The sequence below is a fragment of the Homo sapiens genome, chromosome 9, assembly GCF_000001405.40.
Source record: "Homo sapiens chromosome 9, GRCh38.p14 Primary Assembly".
NCBI lineage: Eukaryota > Metazoa > Chordata > Mammalia > Primates > Hominidae > Homo > Homo sapiens.
The window spans coordinates 91,334,649-91,353,633 of record NC_000009.12 but is presented as its reverse complement, the minus strand read 5'-3'; the positions used below and the strand labels follow the sequence as shown (position 1 = coordinate 91,353,633).

Genomic DNA, 18,985 nt, shown 5'->3' with positions numbered 1-18,985 from the left:
TCTCCTGACCTCGTGATCCGCTCACCTCGGCCTCCCAAAGAGGTCTGTCTTTTAACATGTACATATGAAATAAAATTATAGGTAAATAAAATCTCTTTACATTATTTAAAGAATATTTAAACTTACAGCCTATATTAGTATAAACATCTTAATCAGGCCACATTTATCAGTTATTGTTGAGGAATGTGGTCTTTCACATAATTAAAGCTTTAATTTGTACTCCAAAGTAGTAATATTAAAAGAAACCTCTGCTGGGCGCGGTGGCTCATGCCTGTAATTCCAGCACTTTGGAAGTCGAGGTGGGTGGATCACAAGGTCAAGAATTCGAGACCAGCCTGGCCAACATAGTGAAACCCTGTCTCTACTAAAAATACAAAAAATTTTCTGGGCGTGGTAGTAGGTGCCTGTAATCCCAGCTACTCAGGAGGCCGAGGCAGGATAATTGCTTGAACCTGGGAGGCAGAGGTTGCAGTGAGCCGAGATGACGCCACCTCATTCCAGCCCGGGTGACAGTGTGAGACTCCGGCTCAAAAAAAAAAGAAACCTCAAAAACACAGTGTACCGTTTATTGATTATCCTTTTAGCCTCTTCTCCATCCCTTGAAAGTCATCATTTTCCCTCTTCTTTTTCTTCTCCCACAAAGGTTTCTCTGTATATATTAATACTGTATTCCAGTGATACCTTGCTCATTTCTAAATATTTAAAGCTTAGCAAATGGTCTTGCCTCAAATTTCTTGAGCATAGGAACTCCTCTTATTCTTTGAGAATCATCTTTTACATTCTCAGAACACAGCAAACAACAGGGACTCAGCATTTATTTGCTGGAATTAATCAGCCTTTAAACTGTGCTTTAATTCACTGATTTTTTTCAGGAATGGTTGGGATATAATAAGCAGCTTCTCTGAATTGTCTCATACCACTCTCCTATTTACTGATAGTAAATTTGGCTACATCTTTTTTCTAAAATGCTAGGAAAACAGATAAACATTAAAGAGATTCCTACATTGCATTGGAGGTTGGGCCAAGTGATTTCTGACTTCTCAGAAATCTATTATTTAGCATTATTAAGTACTTCACTTACATTTTAAGTTTTTTAATCAATTTTTAGTTTAAAAAAGTAGCATGGTAGGTCAAAATGTATGAAAATGTATACAGAGAGAACTCTCTCTAACCCTACTTCCTCTACTTTATTCATCCCCTAATATAAATAATTATTATTTTTGTCCTAGTATTTTACTTTATTTTATATATATGTATATATATACACAAATACAGTCATGTGCTCCATAACAACATTTTGGTTAACAGTAGCCTGCATTATACAATGCTGGTCCCATAAGATTATTTGTTTTTATTTTTTTGAGACGGGGTCTCCCTGTCACCCATGCAGGAGTGCAATGGTGTGATCTTGTCTCACTGCAACTTCCGCCTCCAGTGTTCAAGCGATTCTCGTGCCTCAGTCTCCTGAGTAGCTGGGATACAGGTGTGTGCCACCATGCCCAGCTAAATTTTGTAATTTTAGTAGAGATGGGGTTTTTACCATGTTGCCCAGGCTGGTCTTGAACTCCTGACCTCAGGTGATCCACCTGCCTAGGCCTCCCAAAGTGCTGAGATTACATGGGTGAGCCACTGTGCCCAGCCTCATAAGATTATAATACTGTATTTTTACTGTACGTTTTCTGTTTAGGTACATATAAATACTTAGCATTGTGTTACAGTTACCTACAGCATTCAATACAGTCACTGTACAGGTTTGTAGCCTAAGAGAAATATGTTATACCATATATCCTATTTATGTAGGGGATGGTTTCAGGGTGAAACTGTTCCATCTCAGATCATCAGGCCACCTTGGCCTGATTCTCATAAGGAGCGTGCAACCTAGATCCCTCGCATGCGTAGTTCACGGTAGGGTTTGTGCTCCTATGAGAATCTAATGCGGCTGCTGATCTGACAGGAGGCAGAGCTCAAGCAGTAATGCTCCCTTGCCTGTGCTCACCTCCTGCTGTGTCACCGGTTCCTAACAGGCCACAGACCAGTACCATTCATCAACTCGGGTTGGGGACCCCTGGCCTATACCATCTAGGTTTGTGTATATATACTCAATGATGTTTATACAAGGATGAAATTTTCTAAGGACTCTACCAGGATGTTCTCTTTAAGTGACTTATTATATACCGATGCGCTCATTAGAATGTTAAGTAGATATTTAAAGTCATACATATAAAGACATATAAATACGATACTTATAAAGTGATATACATGGAGTGTGGAAAATAACCTGTTACAAGCATAGAGAGAGTTGTATATAAAATGTTATGGCCATTATTACTGTAGCTGTGTAAACTATGTCTGTGCCAATAAGTTCATGGGCCAGGTGGCTCACACCTGTAGTCCCAGCACTTTGGGAGGCCGAGGTAGGCAGTTGGCTTGAGCCTAGGAGTTCAAGACCAGCCTGGGCAACATGGCAAAACCCTGTCTCTCCAAAAATATACTAAAATTAGCCAGGCATGGTGGTGCGTGCCTGTAGTCCTAGCTACTCAGGAGGCTTAGGTGGGAGAGTCGCATGAGCTTGGAAGATCAAAGCTGCGAGCCGTGATTGTGCCACTGCATTTCAGCCTGGGTGACAGAGCGAGACCCTGTTTGAAAAAATGAAAAAAAAAAGATCATGGATTAAAGGTGATATTTTTTCTGTCTTCAAACTTTCTGAAATAACTTCGTTATATTAACAAATTATATTAAGCAAATATATGCAAAGTAAATAATTTTGAAAAATACAAAGTATATTAGTGTATTTTTCTTTTTTTGGAAACTAAAATTGGGATATTAACTGAGTTCCTAAATTGTTGTTACAACTTTCTTTTTGTTTTTTTTTTTTGAGATGAAATCATGTTCTGTCACCCAGGTTGGAGTGCAGTGGTATGATCTCTGCTTACTGCAACCTCTGACTTTCAGGTTCAGGTGATTCTCCTGCCTCAGCCTCCCGAGTAGCTGGGATTACAGGCACCTGCTGCAATGCCCAGCTAATTTTTGTATTTTGAGTAGAGACGGGGTTTCACCATGTTGGCCAGGCTGGTTTTGAACTCCTGACCTCAAGTGATCCACCTGCCTCGGCCTCCCAAAGTGCTGGGATTACAGGCGCGAGCCACTGTGCCCGACCCATTACAACATTTGAGAAGATAAATTTTAGACTAAAAGAGTTCCTATAGAATAATTCAGACCCTTTAATTTTATAGAATCCCTGTGAAGTGAAAGACCTGGTTAAAGGTGGTGGCTTAGCTGAAACTACTTCTCTTGACAGTTAGGACAGAGTTTTCTCTTAGACTGTGGTTTCTAATCTAGAACCTAGAAGGAATATGAGGTGTCTCTTTAAAGTTCTTAAAATTTTATACACTTAGACATTTTAGTGGCCCTACATTGAGAAGGTGTGTAATGTCAAAATGTCATTGTTACAGTAATGTATTAAAATGGATGTTTCTATTAACCACAGTAATATGTAAATACAGATAAAAATATGTCATAGTTGTCACAGATACAGACAGTGTTTCCCATACATAATGTGTTTTCACATGGTGTGCTATACCCCAAATTTTAATATATTGTTGATCGTGACATTCTGGAAAAGTCTTTCTGGTTGGCCGGCTACATTGGATGTAAATGTGTGATCACAGTCATACCCTTCAGGTTGGGAATCACTGTTGTGTATTCTTTCTTGTAGATTAGAACACCACTTCTGGGTTCATGGCTTGCCTGTACTTCTCTTAGAATACTAAGAAAAATAATTTTGTTAGTCAAAGCTTCTTGTGAAGCATTGGCTACATGGATTATGTGAGATTGGACTGAATGTGTGCTGCCTCCTTACATATTCTAAAAACTGTTTAATCACTTTTAGTTTACCTTCTCTCTCTCTCCCTCTCCCTCTCTCTTCTCTCTGTGTGTGTGTGTGTGTGTGTGTGTCTGTCTCTCTGCCTTACATACACACACCCACACACACATACACACACACACAAGTCAAAACAATTCTGCTATTTCAAAATGTTTATGTAGTTAAAATTTTAATATTTGCCAATCACAAAATTCTAAAGAAGTCTGATTGGGCTGCTGCGTTGGATGTAAATGTGAAATCACCGTCATCTGTTTATTTTTGTTCTTTTACTTTTCTAATTCAAAGTAACAAAGTGCACATGCATTGTTTTTACCAGAACATTTTTGAAATGAAATTTTGTGAGAAATTACTGAGAATGAGGATTTTTTCTTTTGAAATTTCCTAAGATATATGATAAACAATTCTTGGTAATTGATTGCTATATGTAGAACCCTAAATTGTTTCACTGAATTACACCAGTGTGGGTTTTATAAAAAAGTAAAGGTAGTTTTGCTTCTGCTTTTGAATTCTAGTAAATTATGTTATGACTAAAGAGTGACTTGTCACTAAAATTGTCAACATGCATTATTGAATGTTGTGTGCTGTTCATATGGATAAAAATGTCATGATCTGGATAGATGTGTGGGCACGTTGGACTATGAAGTAACCTGGCCGTTGTTGTTTCAGAATCTTAGATTGTCATATTTATGTATTTAACTGTTAGTCCTTCAGAGAGTTTGATAAGTAACGTGAAGGGATAGATACCACAAATTTGTAGTAGTTTAACAAGTTTGTATTAGTTTAGCTATATAGGGTTTTGTTTTTTTGTTGTTGTCATATATTGTTTGTTGGAATAAAAAATGTTTTATTTAGGTATGAATTACTTGGAATAAAGTTTACCAATTTAAAATGTATAATTGATGAATTTTGACAGGTATTTAAACCATGATCAGAATCATGATACAGAACATATTCGTTACTTAAAAAGTTTTCTTGTGTCCATTTGCAGTCAAGCCCCTTCCCTTGCCCTGATCTCTGAAAGTACTAATCTCCTTGCTGCTCCTAGTTTAGCATCTTCTGTAATTTTAAAATAAATTGACTCATACTATGGGTAGTCTTTTGTGTCTGACCTCTTTCATTTAACATAATGGTTTGAGCTTCATCCATATTCATGTTTCACTAGTTTCATTTTATTGGCATGTATTTTATTTTATTGCTGAGAATAGTATTTATTGTATGACTGTTTCACGGTTTGTTTATTCATTAGGTGATGGTCATTTGGGTTTTTCCATCGTTTGGCTTTTATGCATCACTTCTGTGACCATTCACACACACCTTTTTGGCAATGCATAATTTTATTTCTCTCAGGTAAATAGTCAGAAGTAGAATTACTGGTTTTATCCTGTGTGTTTAGTTTTGTAAGAAACTGCCAACTGTTTTCGGTATCATTTTGCATTCCCACTAGCAACGGATGAGAGTTTCAGGCGTTCCACATGCTTACCAACACTTGATAATATGAGGTTTAAAAATTGTAGGCATCCTAATGGATACAAAGTCATATTTCATTGTAGTTTTAGTTTACATTTCATATGTGTCACCTGTATATCTGTTTTGATGACTTGTTTATTTGAATTTTTTCCCAATGTTTTTCTTAGAATCTCATCTCATTGAGTTGTAAGGTTTTTTTTTTGTTTTTTTTTATATTCTTGATACAAGACTTTTATCTGTTATACTTGGTAAGTTTTCTTCCACTAAATGGCCTGTCATTTTTCTGCCTTATAATTTGTTTTGAAGAACAAAAGTTTTTTATGTGAAGACTGATTTTTTAAAAATTTACATATTGTTTCTTTTTTTTATTATACTTTAAGTTCTAGGGTACGTGTGCACAATGTGCAGGTTTGTTACGTATGTATACATGTATGAAGACTGATTTATCATTTTTTTTTCCTTTTATGGTTTGTACCTTTTTGTGAATTTTAGAAATTTTGTTTTACCCCACAGTCAGAAAGATTTTCTCCTGTTTTCTAATACTTTTGTAGTTTTTATATCTTATATTTAGGACTCTGAAGTATTCTGAGTTAATTTTTATATATGTTGTGAAAGAGAATAAAAAATATATTTGGTCTTTGCCCTTGTTCTTGGTACAGAGCTCTTAAAACCCTGGGAGTTTCCTGAATGGTCCAAGTGCTTTTTGTTGTGTAATGAGATGACCCTAGATAGCTTCAGGATGGGGGGGCAGCTTGTCAGAAAAAGCAGCCATGGGTTAGAGGATTAGAACTTTTAGCACCCTCTCCCCCCAGAGGGGAAAGGGGCCAGAGATTCAGCTCAGTTACCAGTGGCCAGTGATTTAGTCATTCATGTCTCCCTATGGAGGTAATGAAACCTCCATAAAGACCCTTAAACAGCGGGGTTCAGAGCCAGGCACGGTGGCTCATGCCTGTAATTCTGCCACTTTGGGAGGCTGAGGCAGGTGGATGGCTTGAGTTTGAGACCAGCCTGGGTAACATGGCAAAACCCCATCTCTACCAAAACAAACAAACAAACAAACAAACAAACAAAAAACCCTCTTAACTGGGTGTGGTGGCACATTCCTGTAATCCCAGCTACTTGAGGGGGCTGAGGTGCAAGGATTGCTTGAGCCTGAGATATTGAGGCTGCAGTGAGCTGTGATTGTGCCACTGTGCTCCAGCGTGGGTGACAAAGTGAGACCCTGTCTCAAAAAAACAAAACAAAAAATGGGGCTCAGGGAGCTTCTAGGTTGGTGAACACATTGATTTTCTAGGAGGTTGGCACTCCTAAAGAGGGCATGGAAGCTCTGTACTCCCTCTTCCCATACCTTGCCCTATGCATCTGTTCCATTGGTCTGTTCCTGAGTTGCATATAGTAAATAAAGTGTTTTTTTTTTTTTTTTAAATTCTGAGTCATTCTAGTGAATTAAGTAACCTGAGGAGTTTAGGGGAATCCCCAAATCTATAGCTGGTTGTTTCAGACATATGGGTTGCCCCTGGGACTTGTGAGTTGCATCTGAAGTGAGGGCAGCCTTGTGGGACCCCTTAACTTGTGGGATCCCACTAATTTTGGATGGTGGCAGAATTTAACTGAATTGTTGGATACCCGCTTGATGTTGAAGAATTGGTGTGGAAACCCTCAGACATTTGGTGTCAGAAGTGGTGTTAGAAAAAAAGACGTCATAATTGGTCTCAGGAATGGGATTTGCTAGAGCATCTCACGAAACTCAGGAAAGTGCTTTATTTACTATTACCAGTTTATTATAAAAGAGAAAACTGAGGAACAGTCAAGTGGAGGAGGTACTTAGAGCAAAGTTAGGGTGGAGGGTTGCAGAGCTTCCATACCCTCTCCAGGTGTGCCACTTACCCAGCACATCCATGTGTTCACTAACCTGGGAGCTCCCTAAGCCCTGTTTCAGGGATTTTTTATGGAGGCCTCTTTACATAATGATTGATTACATCATTAGCCATTGGCGACTGAGCTCAATCTCCAGCTCCTCTCACTCCCTGAAGGTGTGGGTAGGGCACTGAAAGTTCTAACCCTCTGATCATGGCTTGATATTTCTGGTGACCAGCGCCTGTCCTGGAGCTATCTAGGGGCCCTCTAAGAGTCAGTTCATTAGCATAAACTCAGGTTTGGTTGAGAAGGGCATGTTAGGAATAACAAAAGACACTCTGTCACTCAGGAAATTCTGAGGGTTTTAGGAGCTTTGGGCCAGGAACCTGGAATAAAAACGACGAAGTATTTTTTTTATACACAGGTGGCTTTTTTTGGGGTTTTTGTTTTGTTGCATTTTCAATTCTCCCAGCACCATTTGTCAGACCAACTTTTCCCCCATTACATTATTTTGGGACCTGTCTAAAATATCAGTTGACAGTATATGTGTGAGTTATGTCAGGGTTCTCTGGGTACTTTTTTTTTTTTTTTTTTGCGATGGAGTCTCACTCTGTCACCCAGGCTGGAGTGCAGTGGCGTGATCTTGGCTCACTGCAAGCTCCACCTCTTGGGTTCACACCATTCTCCTGCCTCAGCCTCCCGAGTAGCTGGGACTACAGGGGCTCGCCACCACGCCCGGCTAATTTTTTGTATTTTTAGTAGAGACGGGGTTTCACCGTATTAGCCAGGATGGTCTCGATCTCCTGATCTCGTGATCCACCTGCCTCGGCCTCCCAAAGTGCTGGGATTACAGGCGTGAGCCACCACGCCTGGCCTTCTCTGGGTATTTTTAATGCCAATACCGCACTGTCTGTTACCATGTTCAGGTCTTAGACATGTTTGGTTAAATTTATTTCTAAGTTTTTCATATATTTTGATGTTACTGTAAGTGGCATTTCTTCTTAATTTTACTCCCAATTTTTTATTACTAGTATATTGCTAGTATATTGATTTTTGTATATTGTCTTTGTATCCTGCAACCTTGTTAAATGCACTTTTTACTTCTAGGACTCTTTTTTGTAGATACTCTGGGGTTTTCTACAAAGGTAGTCAAGTCATTTGTGAATAAAGATAGTTTTACTTCTTCCTTTCCTATCTGTTCACCTTTTATTTTTTTTTATATATCCATTACATTTTCATTATAGAGTTGACTAAAAGCAGTGTGAGTGTTCGTCTTTGTCTTTTCTCAATCTTATGGGGAAGGCATCCAGTCTTTTACTACTAAGTATGATGTTAGCTGTAGTTTTTTCACAGATGCAGTTCATCAGGGTGAAAAGTTTCTTTTTATTTGTAGTTTGCTGAGGCATTTTTTTTTTTTCATGAACATGTATTGAATTTTGTCAAATCTCTTTTTGGCATCTATTAAGATTCTCATATTATTTTTCAGCCTGTCAATATGGTGAATGATTGATTGATTATCAATTATTAACAATTGTGTATTCCTGGAACAGACCTCTCGATCATTAATCCTTTTTATATACTGCTGGATTTGATTTGCTTAAGTTTTTTAGGATTTTATAACTTTTCATAAGGGAAATTGGTTTGCCTTCTTTTATTGTAAGGTCTGTAGTTCTGGTATCAGGATAGTGCTGGTCTCATAAAATGAATTGGGAAATGTTCCTTCCTTCTATTTCCCTGAACAAGTTTGCATAGTTGTTATTATTTCTTACTTAATTGTTTGGTAAAATTCACCAACGAAGTCATTTGGTCTAGGAAGTTTCTTTGTGGGAAGATTTGTAACTATGAATTTGATATCTTTAATAAATACAGGGCTACTTGAGTTTCTTCTGTTTGAAAAGTCAAATTCTGTAACATATTCGAAGAGATTTATTCTGAGCCAAATATGAGTGACCAGCCCCAGGAGATCATGAGAATGTGTGCCCAAGGTGTTCAGTCTACAGCTTGGTTTTATACATTTTAGGGAGACATAAGACATCAATCAATACATGTAAGATGTACGTTGGTTCAGTCTGGACAGGTGGGACAACTGGAAGCAGTGAGGGATAGGGGGCCTTCCAGGTTATAGGTAGATTCAGTGATGTTCTGATTGGCAATTGGTTGAAAGAATTTATCTAAAGACCTGGAATCAGTGAAAGGCAGTGTCTTAGTTGTGGAGACCAAGGTTCTTATTATGCAAATGAAGCCTTCAGGTGGGAAGCTTCAGAGAAAATAGATTGTAAATGTTTCTTGTCAGACTTAAAGGGCCTGTTCTGTCAGTCTTCAGGTCCTGTGTTGATGTTAATGCTGGTCATCTGTGCCTGAATTCCAACGGGAGGAGAGTATAATGAAGAATGTCCTACTCCCACTCCCACTTTCCATCATGGCCTGAACTAGTTTCTCAGGTTAGCTTTGGATTGCCCTTGGTGGAGGGGAGGGTCCATCAGTCAGTTGGCGAACTCAGAATTTTATTTTTGGTTTACATTTCTTTTTGAGTGAGTTTTGGTAATTTGTGTCTTTTAAGTTGAGTGAGTTTTGGTAATTTGTGTTTTATCTAAGTTTTCAAGTTAATTGCCATAAAATTGTTCATATTATTCCTTATCCTTTTACTACATTGAATCTATAATGATATCTGATTGATTATTTATTTATTTATTTTGAGACAGGGTCTTGCTCTGTCACCCAGGCTGGAGTGCAGCAGTGTAATCTCAGCTCACTGCAACCTCCGCCTCCCGAGTAGCTGGGATTACAGGCATGCACCACCACACCTGGCTAATTTTTGTATTTTTAGTAGAGATGGGGTTTCACCATGTTGGCCAGGCTGGTCTCGGACTCCTGGCCTCAAGGCCGCCTGCCTCAGCCTCCCAAAGTGTTGGGATTATAGGTGTGAGCCACTGTGCCTGGCCGATGTCTGATTATTTATTTTTGATATTGATACATTGTGTCTTTTTTCTTAAATACTAGCAAAACATTAGTCACTTTTGTTTATCTTTTCAAATAAGTGGCTTTTGGTTTCCTTTATTTTGCTTTTCTTTCTATTCATTGATTTCTTCATTATTTTCTTCTCTCTGTTTGCCTCGGGTTTAATTTACTCTTATTTCTAGCTTCCTAAGGTGGAAGTTTAGATAACTGATTTGAGGCCCTTCTTTTCTTATAGTTGACCCTTGAGCAACATGAGAGGTTAGGAGAGATGACACCTCCACCTGCACCCCTGCCCCCACCCCTCACAGTTGAAAATCCTCCTATAACTTGACTTCTCAAAAACTGAACTACTAATAGTCTACTGTTGACTGGAGGCCTCACTGGTAACATAAAGGGTTGAGTAACAAACATTTTGTATGTTATATGTATTATATGCTTTATTCTTACAGTAAAGTAAGCTAAAGAAAAGAAAATGTTACTAAGAAAACCATAAGGAAGAGAAAATACATTTACTATCAAGTGGAAGTGGGTCATCACACAGGTTATCCTTGTCATCTTCATGTTGAGTAGGTTAAGGAGAAAGAGGAGGGGTTGTCTTGCTGTCTCAAAGGGGTGGCAGAGGTGGAAGAAAATCTGTGTACAAATAGACCTGATGTTGTTCAAAGGTCAGCTGCACTTAAATTTTAATGTTTTCATTTGAGCACGTCAGAGATGCCGTTAAAAATGACTCAGAGTACTCGTGCCCTTTCTGTGTAAGTAATGATTGATTGGTTGTTGCTAATTCATTTCTGACTCTAATTCCATTTTTTAAAAAGCCTACCTGTATAATATTTTAGGATCTGTAGAGATTTTAAGGAATAGGAAATATATATTAGTAATAACCTGCTGACTAATCTGCTTCCACTCTTGCCCTTTCCCCACACAGCAGCCCAAGTGATCTTAAAAAAGTTAATGGATCACATCACTCTGCTATTTCAGACACTGTTCAGAAATAAAGTGTGTGGGAGGCAGAAATGACCCCCAAAGTTGTCCACGTCCTAATGCTGGAACCTTACATGGAAACAGGAACTTCGCAGATGTGAGGAAGGTGAAGATCTTACGATGGGGAGATTTTCCTGATGTATCCACTGGGCCCAATGTAAAGACAAGGGTTCATACAAGAGGGAGGCAGGAGGACTCTGAGCAGGAGAAATGACAACAGGAAGCAGAAGTTGGAGAGAAGCAAGGAAGGGGCCATGAGCCAAGGAATGTGGACAGCCCCTAGAAGCTGGGAAAGGCAAGGGAGCTCATCTTCCCTAGTGCCTCCAGAAGGAATGCAGCCTTGCCAACCCATTTTAGACTTCTGACCTAGAATTGTCAGGTAATCCCTTTAAGCTTGTAGTTATTTGTCCAGCAGCACCAGGAAACTGATACCAAGTGTGTCAGGTCTCGCCTACTCTGGCCACATTGCCTTTTCCCACCAATTTCCCACTGCCTTTCTTACTCTCTCTGCTTGACAAAGCTCATTCTTCTCTCCAACTCGTTGTGCTCAGTGTTCTCTTTGTGTTCAGAAAGGCCTCTGCTCTAATGTCATCTTAAATAGCTGTTCCCTCATCACTTAAACCAAAGCAGGTCTCCCTGCTTCCCCCAGCCTCCATCACATTTTTCTATTTTAGCTTCATCTCTGAACGTTTCTGTTCTTGAATTTATTTTTTACTTATTGATTATCAGTCAGCCTCCCCCGCAGATAAGCTCCTTTCGTTGGCATTAGGACAGAGGCCTATTGCCAGAACAGTGCCTGGCCCATAGAAGGCACTTAGCAAATAGTTCATGGGATGACTGTGAACCATTTTGGTTGTTGAGGAAGTAACATTGGCAAAATGTCATGGTTAAATAAAACAAGCTTTGATACAGAGCATGCGTAGGTGGCTTGTGTGGTTAAGAAGAGTGATTTGTTCTTGAGATATTGTCAGTCTTATAAATAGAAGGTTGTATCTAGGGTACCAGTAAATTTAACCAGTGGAGATTAAAACATTAGCTTTATGACTTACCGTTAAACCTGTTTCAAAGATATGGCTTTGATGTGTTCCCAGATGGACTTCAAGTTCTCTCTCCCACCTGCTACCACAAGGGATGTCTTGGAGGAGCACAGCTGCCTCTGTTGGGGTGAGCAGAGAATGGGCCCCCCCTAGTGGGTGGGCAGCTGGTCAGAGAGCCTAGGTGGTTCTCTCAGTCCCCTTTCTCCAAGGCTGCCCAGTTATGTGGTGAGGTGAGCATTGTGGGCAGTGGGAGGCTGGAAGGGGTCCTTCCTGCAGGAGACCCCTCTTGCATGAGGCCAGGGGAGTGGAATTCAGCTCTAGAACTTTGGTCAGCTTGAGTAGAGCTCCGGCAGTTAGAAAGGGAGACTTCAAAAGTTAGAAAAAATTAGATTTTTGTCAGTCTGCTTCTGGAAATTGATACTCAGTAGTAGTTTGCCTTCTCAGGGCTTTCTCTGGGAACTGGCATTAGTCTAGACTGAGGTTAGTAAATTTTGTGTGTAAAAGGCCAGATATTTTAGGCTTTGTGTGCCTCTTAACAATTTTTGTCACATATTCTTTGTTTTATCTTTACAACCCTTAGAAAAGATGTAAAAGCTGGGTGCAGACTGGCCTGCAGGCTGTTTTTTGCTGTCTTCTGGTTCACACTCCAGTTTTCTCTGTTTGTTCCAGCTGGAGGAGCAGGGGTCAGTTACACTGGGCTTTGCAGGAAGAAGCTGGAGAGGCTTGGCCATGGAGGCTGTTTTTCTTGACATAAAAATAAAAATGTTCATTTTTTCTTGTGTGCTTGGTGAGTGATCTGGAAACAGTTGTACAACTCATAGTTTGAGAAGTATTTTGTTCAGTGATAGTGTCATTTGGGTGAATGCTAGATTTGAAGGCCAGCACCAATTAGGATGATCTTGAGGTTTATGGTTCTTAAAAACTCCCTGAGTTGAAGTTTCATTTGAATAATGTATTGCTTTTCGGGGTAAAATAAGGTTGAAAGAGATGGAGGTAGTCAATATTTTTACATTCTCTAAAGAAAAAGGCAACATGATTAATACCAGTATTATTTACTCATTAAATTTTATATTAATGGATATTATGTTTGTTACCTTTTTGTGACTGTAAACATTTGGTAATTTTTTTTCTTTAGAATTATGTGAAATAACTGTCAATTGGTTTTGTTTTGTGACAGATAGGACACATGCCTATTAGGTATCTTTCTTATTCAGTGTGGTTTTGCTGCAGAAGGTAGTTACTGTCCTGGAGGATCAGTCCAGCTGGACATAGGTGTTGACAAGTTCTCTCTATTCCTGCTGGTCATAGCGTGAATGCCTTTCAGCTCAGTGTAATCTCTAGGATTTGTTCATTTCATAGCTCCCTGGTTGTTTTTTCTTTCTCTAGTAATTTTCTATGAATTGGGAGTTTACTGTTCAGCCTAAGCATTAGGGAACCCTAGTGCATTTTACTGGAGCTCTTCCTCTGAGAGGTTACCCCACCTTTCCATTTATCTGCCCTGTAAATTCCAGCCACCTCAGCCTCCCTGCACGCTGATCTCGATCAGCAAGACCACAGTGCTTTGTTGGGGTACCCCTGCCTTCTACCAGTCTGTCAGGTGTCTTCAGGAAGAAAACAGGGACAGTCACAGGATCCCAGATGGTAGTCTTTTACTGCCTGTTGATCAATAGCTGAGCCATTTCATATATTTTGAGGGAGGGGATCCAGTACCAGTTACTCCATTGCAGCCACAGGTGCAAGTTCTTAGTTCCTATTAGTGGGGAATGGTATTGAAGAACCAAGATCTGGGTACAACATGTGCTCACTGTTACATGGGTGTCTTTGCTTCTCAAGACAGACCTAAGAAATAAGTAGATAAATTACATTACATATTCACACACACATGTTTACAACCATTTCTGTACTTACATGTTGAAAACCATGAGTTTATATTGTTACCTCCATTTCCAGTTTATCACCACAGGGTTCATTGTTACCTTCTCCCTTTCCATATTTGTAGTACCTGCAGTATATTGACTCATTTGCTCAATCCTGTAACTTACTGAAAGTAATTTCAGAGTTGCTGATCCATACCACTGTGGTAAACATACCTTTTATCCAGAGCTTATTACCTATTGACAGTACAGTCCCTCACTTAATGATGGTTTGACTTAGCGATTTTTCAATTTACGATGGTGCAAAAGTGATACGCATTCAGTAGAAATTGTAACCCCATTTTAAGTTGAGGAGCATCTGTAAAATGCATTTTCCAGTTGTGATATTTTCAACATCCCATGAGTTTATTGGGATATAACCCCATTGCAAGTCAAGGAGTAGCTGTACTTTATATCTTTGGACTGAAGGTATGTAATACTGTAATATACAATACTAAACATATTGTGTGAAGAGTTACTTAGGTTATTTCTTTATTGTGGTTGTGTTTTATTCATTAGAGGTAATGTTAGGTTTCCTCACTCCTATTTATTTTATTTTGATATATGAAATATTAATATGGTTTCAGAAGTCTAAACTATTCAAAGAGATATAATCATAGAAGTGTCAGTACCCACTTCCTCCCTCTAATCTCTTCCCTCCAGTTCCCACCCTTGAGGGTGTTAGTGAGTCTCATTAGTTTCTAGATTATCCTTCATGTTTCTGTCTGCAAAATTAAGGCTATACCTATTTGTTCAACTATTTCCAATCTTTCTTATGCTAGTAGCATTTTATATATATTCTTGCACTTGAGTTTTTGCAGTTAACAATACCTCTTCCCAGCACTTTGGGAGGCCCAGGTGGGTGGATCACCTGAGGTCAGGAGTTCGAGACCAGCCTGGCCAACATGATGAAACCTCATCTCTACTAAAAATACAAAAATTAGCAGGGCGTGGTGGTGGGCACCTGTAATCTCAGCTACTCGGGAGGCTGAGGCAGGAGAATTGCTGGAACCTGGGAGGTGGATGTTGCAGTGAGCCGAGATCGCGCCATTGCGCTCCAGCCTAGGCCAACAACAGCGAGACTCTGTCCCCCTGCCAAAAAAAAAGTACCTCCTAGAAATCAGTCTCTGTTAGTTCATTAAAATGTAGTGATGGCTGGAAGTGTATGAGGGATCTATGAGACTTTTTCAGGATGGAGGTGTTACTATAGTTTGCATGCTGATGAAACTAATCTGATCCTATTGAAGAGGGAGAGGTGTCATCACGTTTCAGAAAGAAGCCTCGAAGTAGGCCTTCAAGAGGGGCTGAGACGCTGGACAGAAATGGAGGGTTTTGGTTTTGGTTAGTGAAAGGACACTTCACTTTGAGGAAAAGTGACATCTGATTTATTAGAGCCTTGAATTCTAATAGAAATCCTGTGGCAGAATAGTCCTTTTCATCAAATGGGCAGGTAAAATTTTACTGGTTGAGTTTCCAAGATAGAAATTTTTTATTTAATTGGAGTAAAAGGTGGGTGCAGGTTCTGGATGAGGATATAAGTGAAAGCACTTACAAGTTGGTATTCTTATTGAGGATCTAGTGCTCTAGAAGCTCTGACAGTAGTCATGTTATACCAAGAAGGTCATGCTCCTTAATCTCACTTGATCCTCTCCAGACATTACCTAGAAACTTTCTGTAATCATTAGAGCTAATTTTATATCTCCACCAATCAATTCCTTCCCTTGAGAACAGATGTGGACTGAAGCAGAACCAATTTGTAATCATTTCTAATATGTCATCTAGTTAGATAATGAGCTCTCACCTCCATCTAACAAAGCATTTTCACAAATTGACTTAAACTATAAGCCTGTTAGGATTGCCTGAATCCAGTCATTTTGAATTTTTCTGAAATTCCTGTAGTTTACTCTGTTTGCCAGCTTTATATATGGGTTGGTGGCCTAAAACTTCAGTTCTGGGCCCCATATCCATGCATGACTTTCTTGAAAGAAAGAGAATACTCTGCTGCAATCCAAGCTGGAGCCCTTCAATTGAGCTTGATTTGATTGCTTAGGGGAGTGGACCATGCTGGTTAGCTCAAACTAACCATAGTCCACTCCTGGATGTGGGGGTAGATTCATCTTCTTCCAAAGTATATGGACTGTGGGGAGTTGGGAGGGCACCAGAACAAAAGGCTGCCATCAGGAAATAGGAGGAGGTAAGTTGGAGAGGATGTTAAGGTAAATGGTTAGTATTCATACCTCTTAAGCATTTTTACTGTAACTCTTCATCAGATCTCAACTACAAAGAAAACACATGAATTTCATTAATTAATTCATGTATTTAATATTTTTTAGAGAGAGCCTGCCATGTGTCAGGTACTGTTGAGGATATAGCAGTAAATAACAGAGAAATAATCTCTGCTCTGTGGGCAGTGGGGAGGGACCATCCCATTTTGCCAAGAGGATGTGCGATAGTATTGTTGGATCTCATATGATGTTTATATGTGAACATTTACTTGATACAGCTTGTAAATGATGTGTTGAAGGCCCTTGTGTATACAAAGGTGATAAGAAGGAAATAGATGGCATAGAAATGAAAACAAGTCATTGGCTTGATCATTCTGACTGATGTTTATAAATCTAAAAATGAAAGTATATTGCAATTAGGGAGCAAAGAATATGGCTGTCCTCTTTAAATTAAGAGCCATCAGTGTTTTCAAAAACATTGCATTTCTACAGTGCAAGTCCAAGAAGAACCAGAAGTAGTGATAGTAATGATGATCTGCTAGAGATGTATTTGAAACCTAGATTCAGCTTTTATAAACCTGTGCAATCCAGGTTCATTTCTTTTTTCTTTCTTTTTTTTTTTTTCTTTTTCTGGAGACCGAGTCTGTGTGATGGAGGTTCATTTCTTTTTTTTTTTTGGAGACCGAGTCTTGCTCTGTCACCCAGGCTGGAGTGCAGTACAGTGGTGCAATCACGGCTCACTGCAACCTCCGCATCCCAGGTTCAAGTGATTCTCGTGCCTCAGCCTCCTGAGTAGCTAGGTTTACAGGTGTGCACCATCACGCCCAGCTTATTTTTGTGTTTTTAGTAGAGACAGGGTTTTGCCATGTTAGCCAGACTGGTCTCAAACTCGTGGCCTCAAGTGATTCACCCGCCTTGGCCTCCCAAAGTGTTGGGAGTAGGCATGAGCCACCATGCCTGGCCAATCCAGGTTTATTTCTGTCTGTTAACAATTTCGTTCAAATGATGTAGCCTTTTTCAGATGTGTTTGTGTATGTATGTGAGTATATATTTGTATATTTATAATATGTATGTGTTTGTATGTATGTGTGTGTATATACATATATATGCATATGCCAGGAAAATATAAAATAGCAACGTGGGTTTTTTATGTTTAAATTTTTACTAAAATTTCTAATAAAGTTGTTTTTTCACTATTATTTTTCTTTAAATTGTTTGTAAATTGACCTAAATATGAAATAAAGATCTAAGGAGTCCATTGGCCCCAGCTGATAGAGTGTTGGTTACTTTTCCTGGTCTACTGAGGGTTAATGTAATATACCTTTGTGGACATTCATCCACAGTGGTTGATGGCTAGGCATTCGTTTCAGGCACACATGGACTATTTATGAAAATTAGCCATCTGCTAGGCCATAAAACCTCCACAGATTTCAGAGGACAGCTATCATCAGACCACATTCTGTCACCACAGGCAGTTGTTAGAAGTCATTAACAAAAAACGTAATTAGAAAAAGTCCCCTACATTGGGAAATTTAAGATAACTTCTAAATAACTTACAGCTCAGCAAATGAATCTTAATGGAAATTAGAAAGCATTCAGAACTAAATGCTAACAAAAAATACTTTAAAAATTGTATAAGATAGCTAAGGTTGGACTTCAGGAAAGAAAAAAGGCTGAAAATGAATAAACTAAGCATGTACCTTAAGTGAAAAAATAACTGCAGAATAACCCAAATAGGGTAGATGAAAGGAAATGAAGTGAGCATAAACTAATGACATGGAAAACACATTAAGTAGTAAGGATAATAGAGCCTAGAGCTGCTTCTTTGAAAAGCCAAATAGTCAGACTTTTGGCAAGATTAATTGTGAGTGAGGGAAAAAATACACAATATTCAGATTGGAAAAGGGAGCCATAGATATAAATTCCACAGAGATTAAACTGGTAAGATAATGTTAAGAATGTGCAATAAAGTCAAGATTTTAGGTGGAATAGATAAATTACTAGAAAATAAAAATTAACCAAAACTGACTTAAGAAATAGAAAACTAGTAATACCAGAGCAATGTGGAAATTGAAGCATCAGTTAAAGATCTTTCCACACAGAAAGCACCGGGCCACAATGACTTCAGAAGAATGTTACATTTACACCTAAGCATTCATGGAGCAGATAATTCCAGTCTTTATATACTCTTTGAGAAAATAGAAAAAGAGAGTCTTTTCCAGCTCATTTTATGAAGCTAGGGTACCCCTGACAACCACCACGTAAGAGCAGCGGGAAAGAAAAACAGACTAGTTTCCTGGTCCTAGTTGGAGATATTCCAGGACTCAGGAGAATCCCCGCTTTATCCAGATTTGCTTGCAGGTTAAGATGTGGATTTAGCCACATGGAAATCATTGGTTATCTTGACCTGATTATTTGGCTTTATTGGAGAGAATAAAAGCCTGTTTGGAGTGGGATCAAGAGACCAGGGTGTTCGAATTGGCACCACATGTACAAAAATTGGAACGATTGAAATCATGACTTTAATCACTGCGTAATAACCCCCTACAATTTTGTGAAGCATTTCATCTTTTACTTCTGAGAAAAATGCAACTTAAAATTACCATTTCTCATTCACTAGATTGCCACAATTTAATAAGTGTATTAGGGTTCTCCAGATAAATA

At 39.0% G+C, this 18,985-nt stretch overlaps 1 protein-coding gene across 20 annotated transcripts in view, besides 1 other annotated feature; it reads left to right on the top strand.

Annotated features, from left to right (window-relative positions):
* AUH (AU RNA binding methylglutaconyl-CoA hydratase) overlaps positions 1-18,985 on the top strand; it is a 148,096-nt gene that overhangs the window by 8,285 nt on the left and 120,826 nt on the right. Inside the window, exons 2-3 of one of the 20 annotated variants that reach the window (XM_047423527.1) lie at positions 9,524-9,648; positions 10,401-12,310. The exons of the other annotated variants lie outside the window; for them this stretch is intronic. Coding sequence (XP_047279483.1) covers positions 12,217-12,310 — 94 coding nt within the window. The 5' untranslated portion in view covers positions 9,524-9,648; positions 10,401-12,216. The remainder of the gene's footprint in view (positions 1-9,523; positions 9,649-10,400; positions 12,311-18,985) is intronic. 20 annotated transcript variants of the gene reach the window in all.
* Positions 9,150-9,805: an enhancer, noted in NCBI's record as "NANOG hESC enhancer chr9:94106111-94106766 (GRCh37/hg19 assembly coordinates)". NCBI's record gives its function as "activates a minimal SCP1, AML or CMV promoter by ChIP-STARR-seq in primed H9 embryonic stem cells {active_cell/tissue: H9 hESC(primed)}" and the evidence as "EXISTENCE:reporter gene assay evidence [ECO:0000049][PMID:30033119]".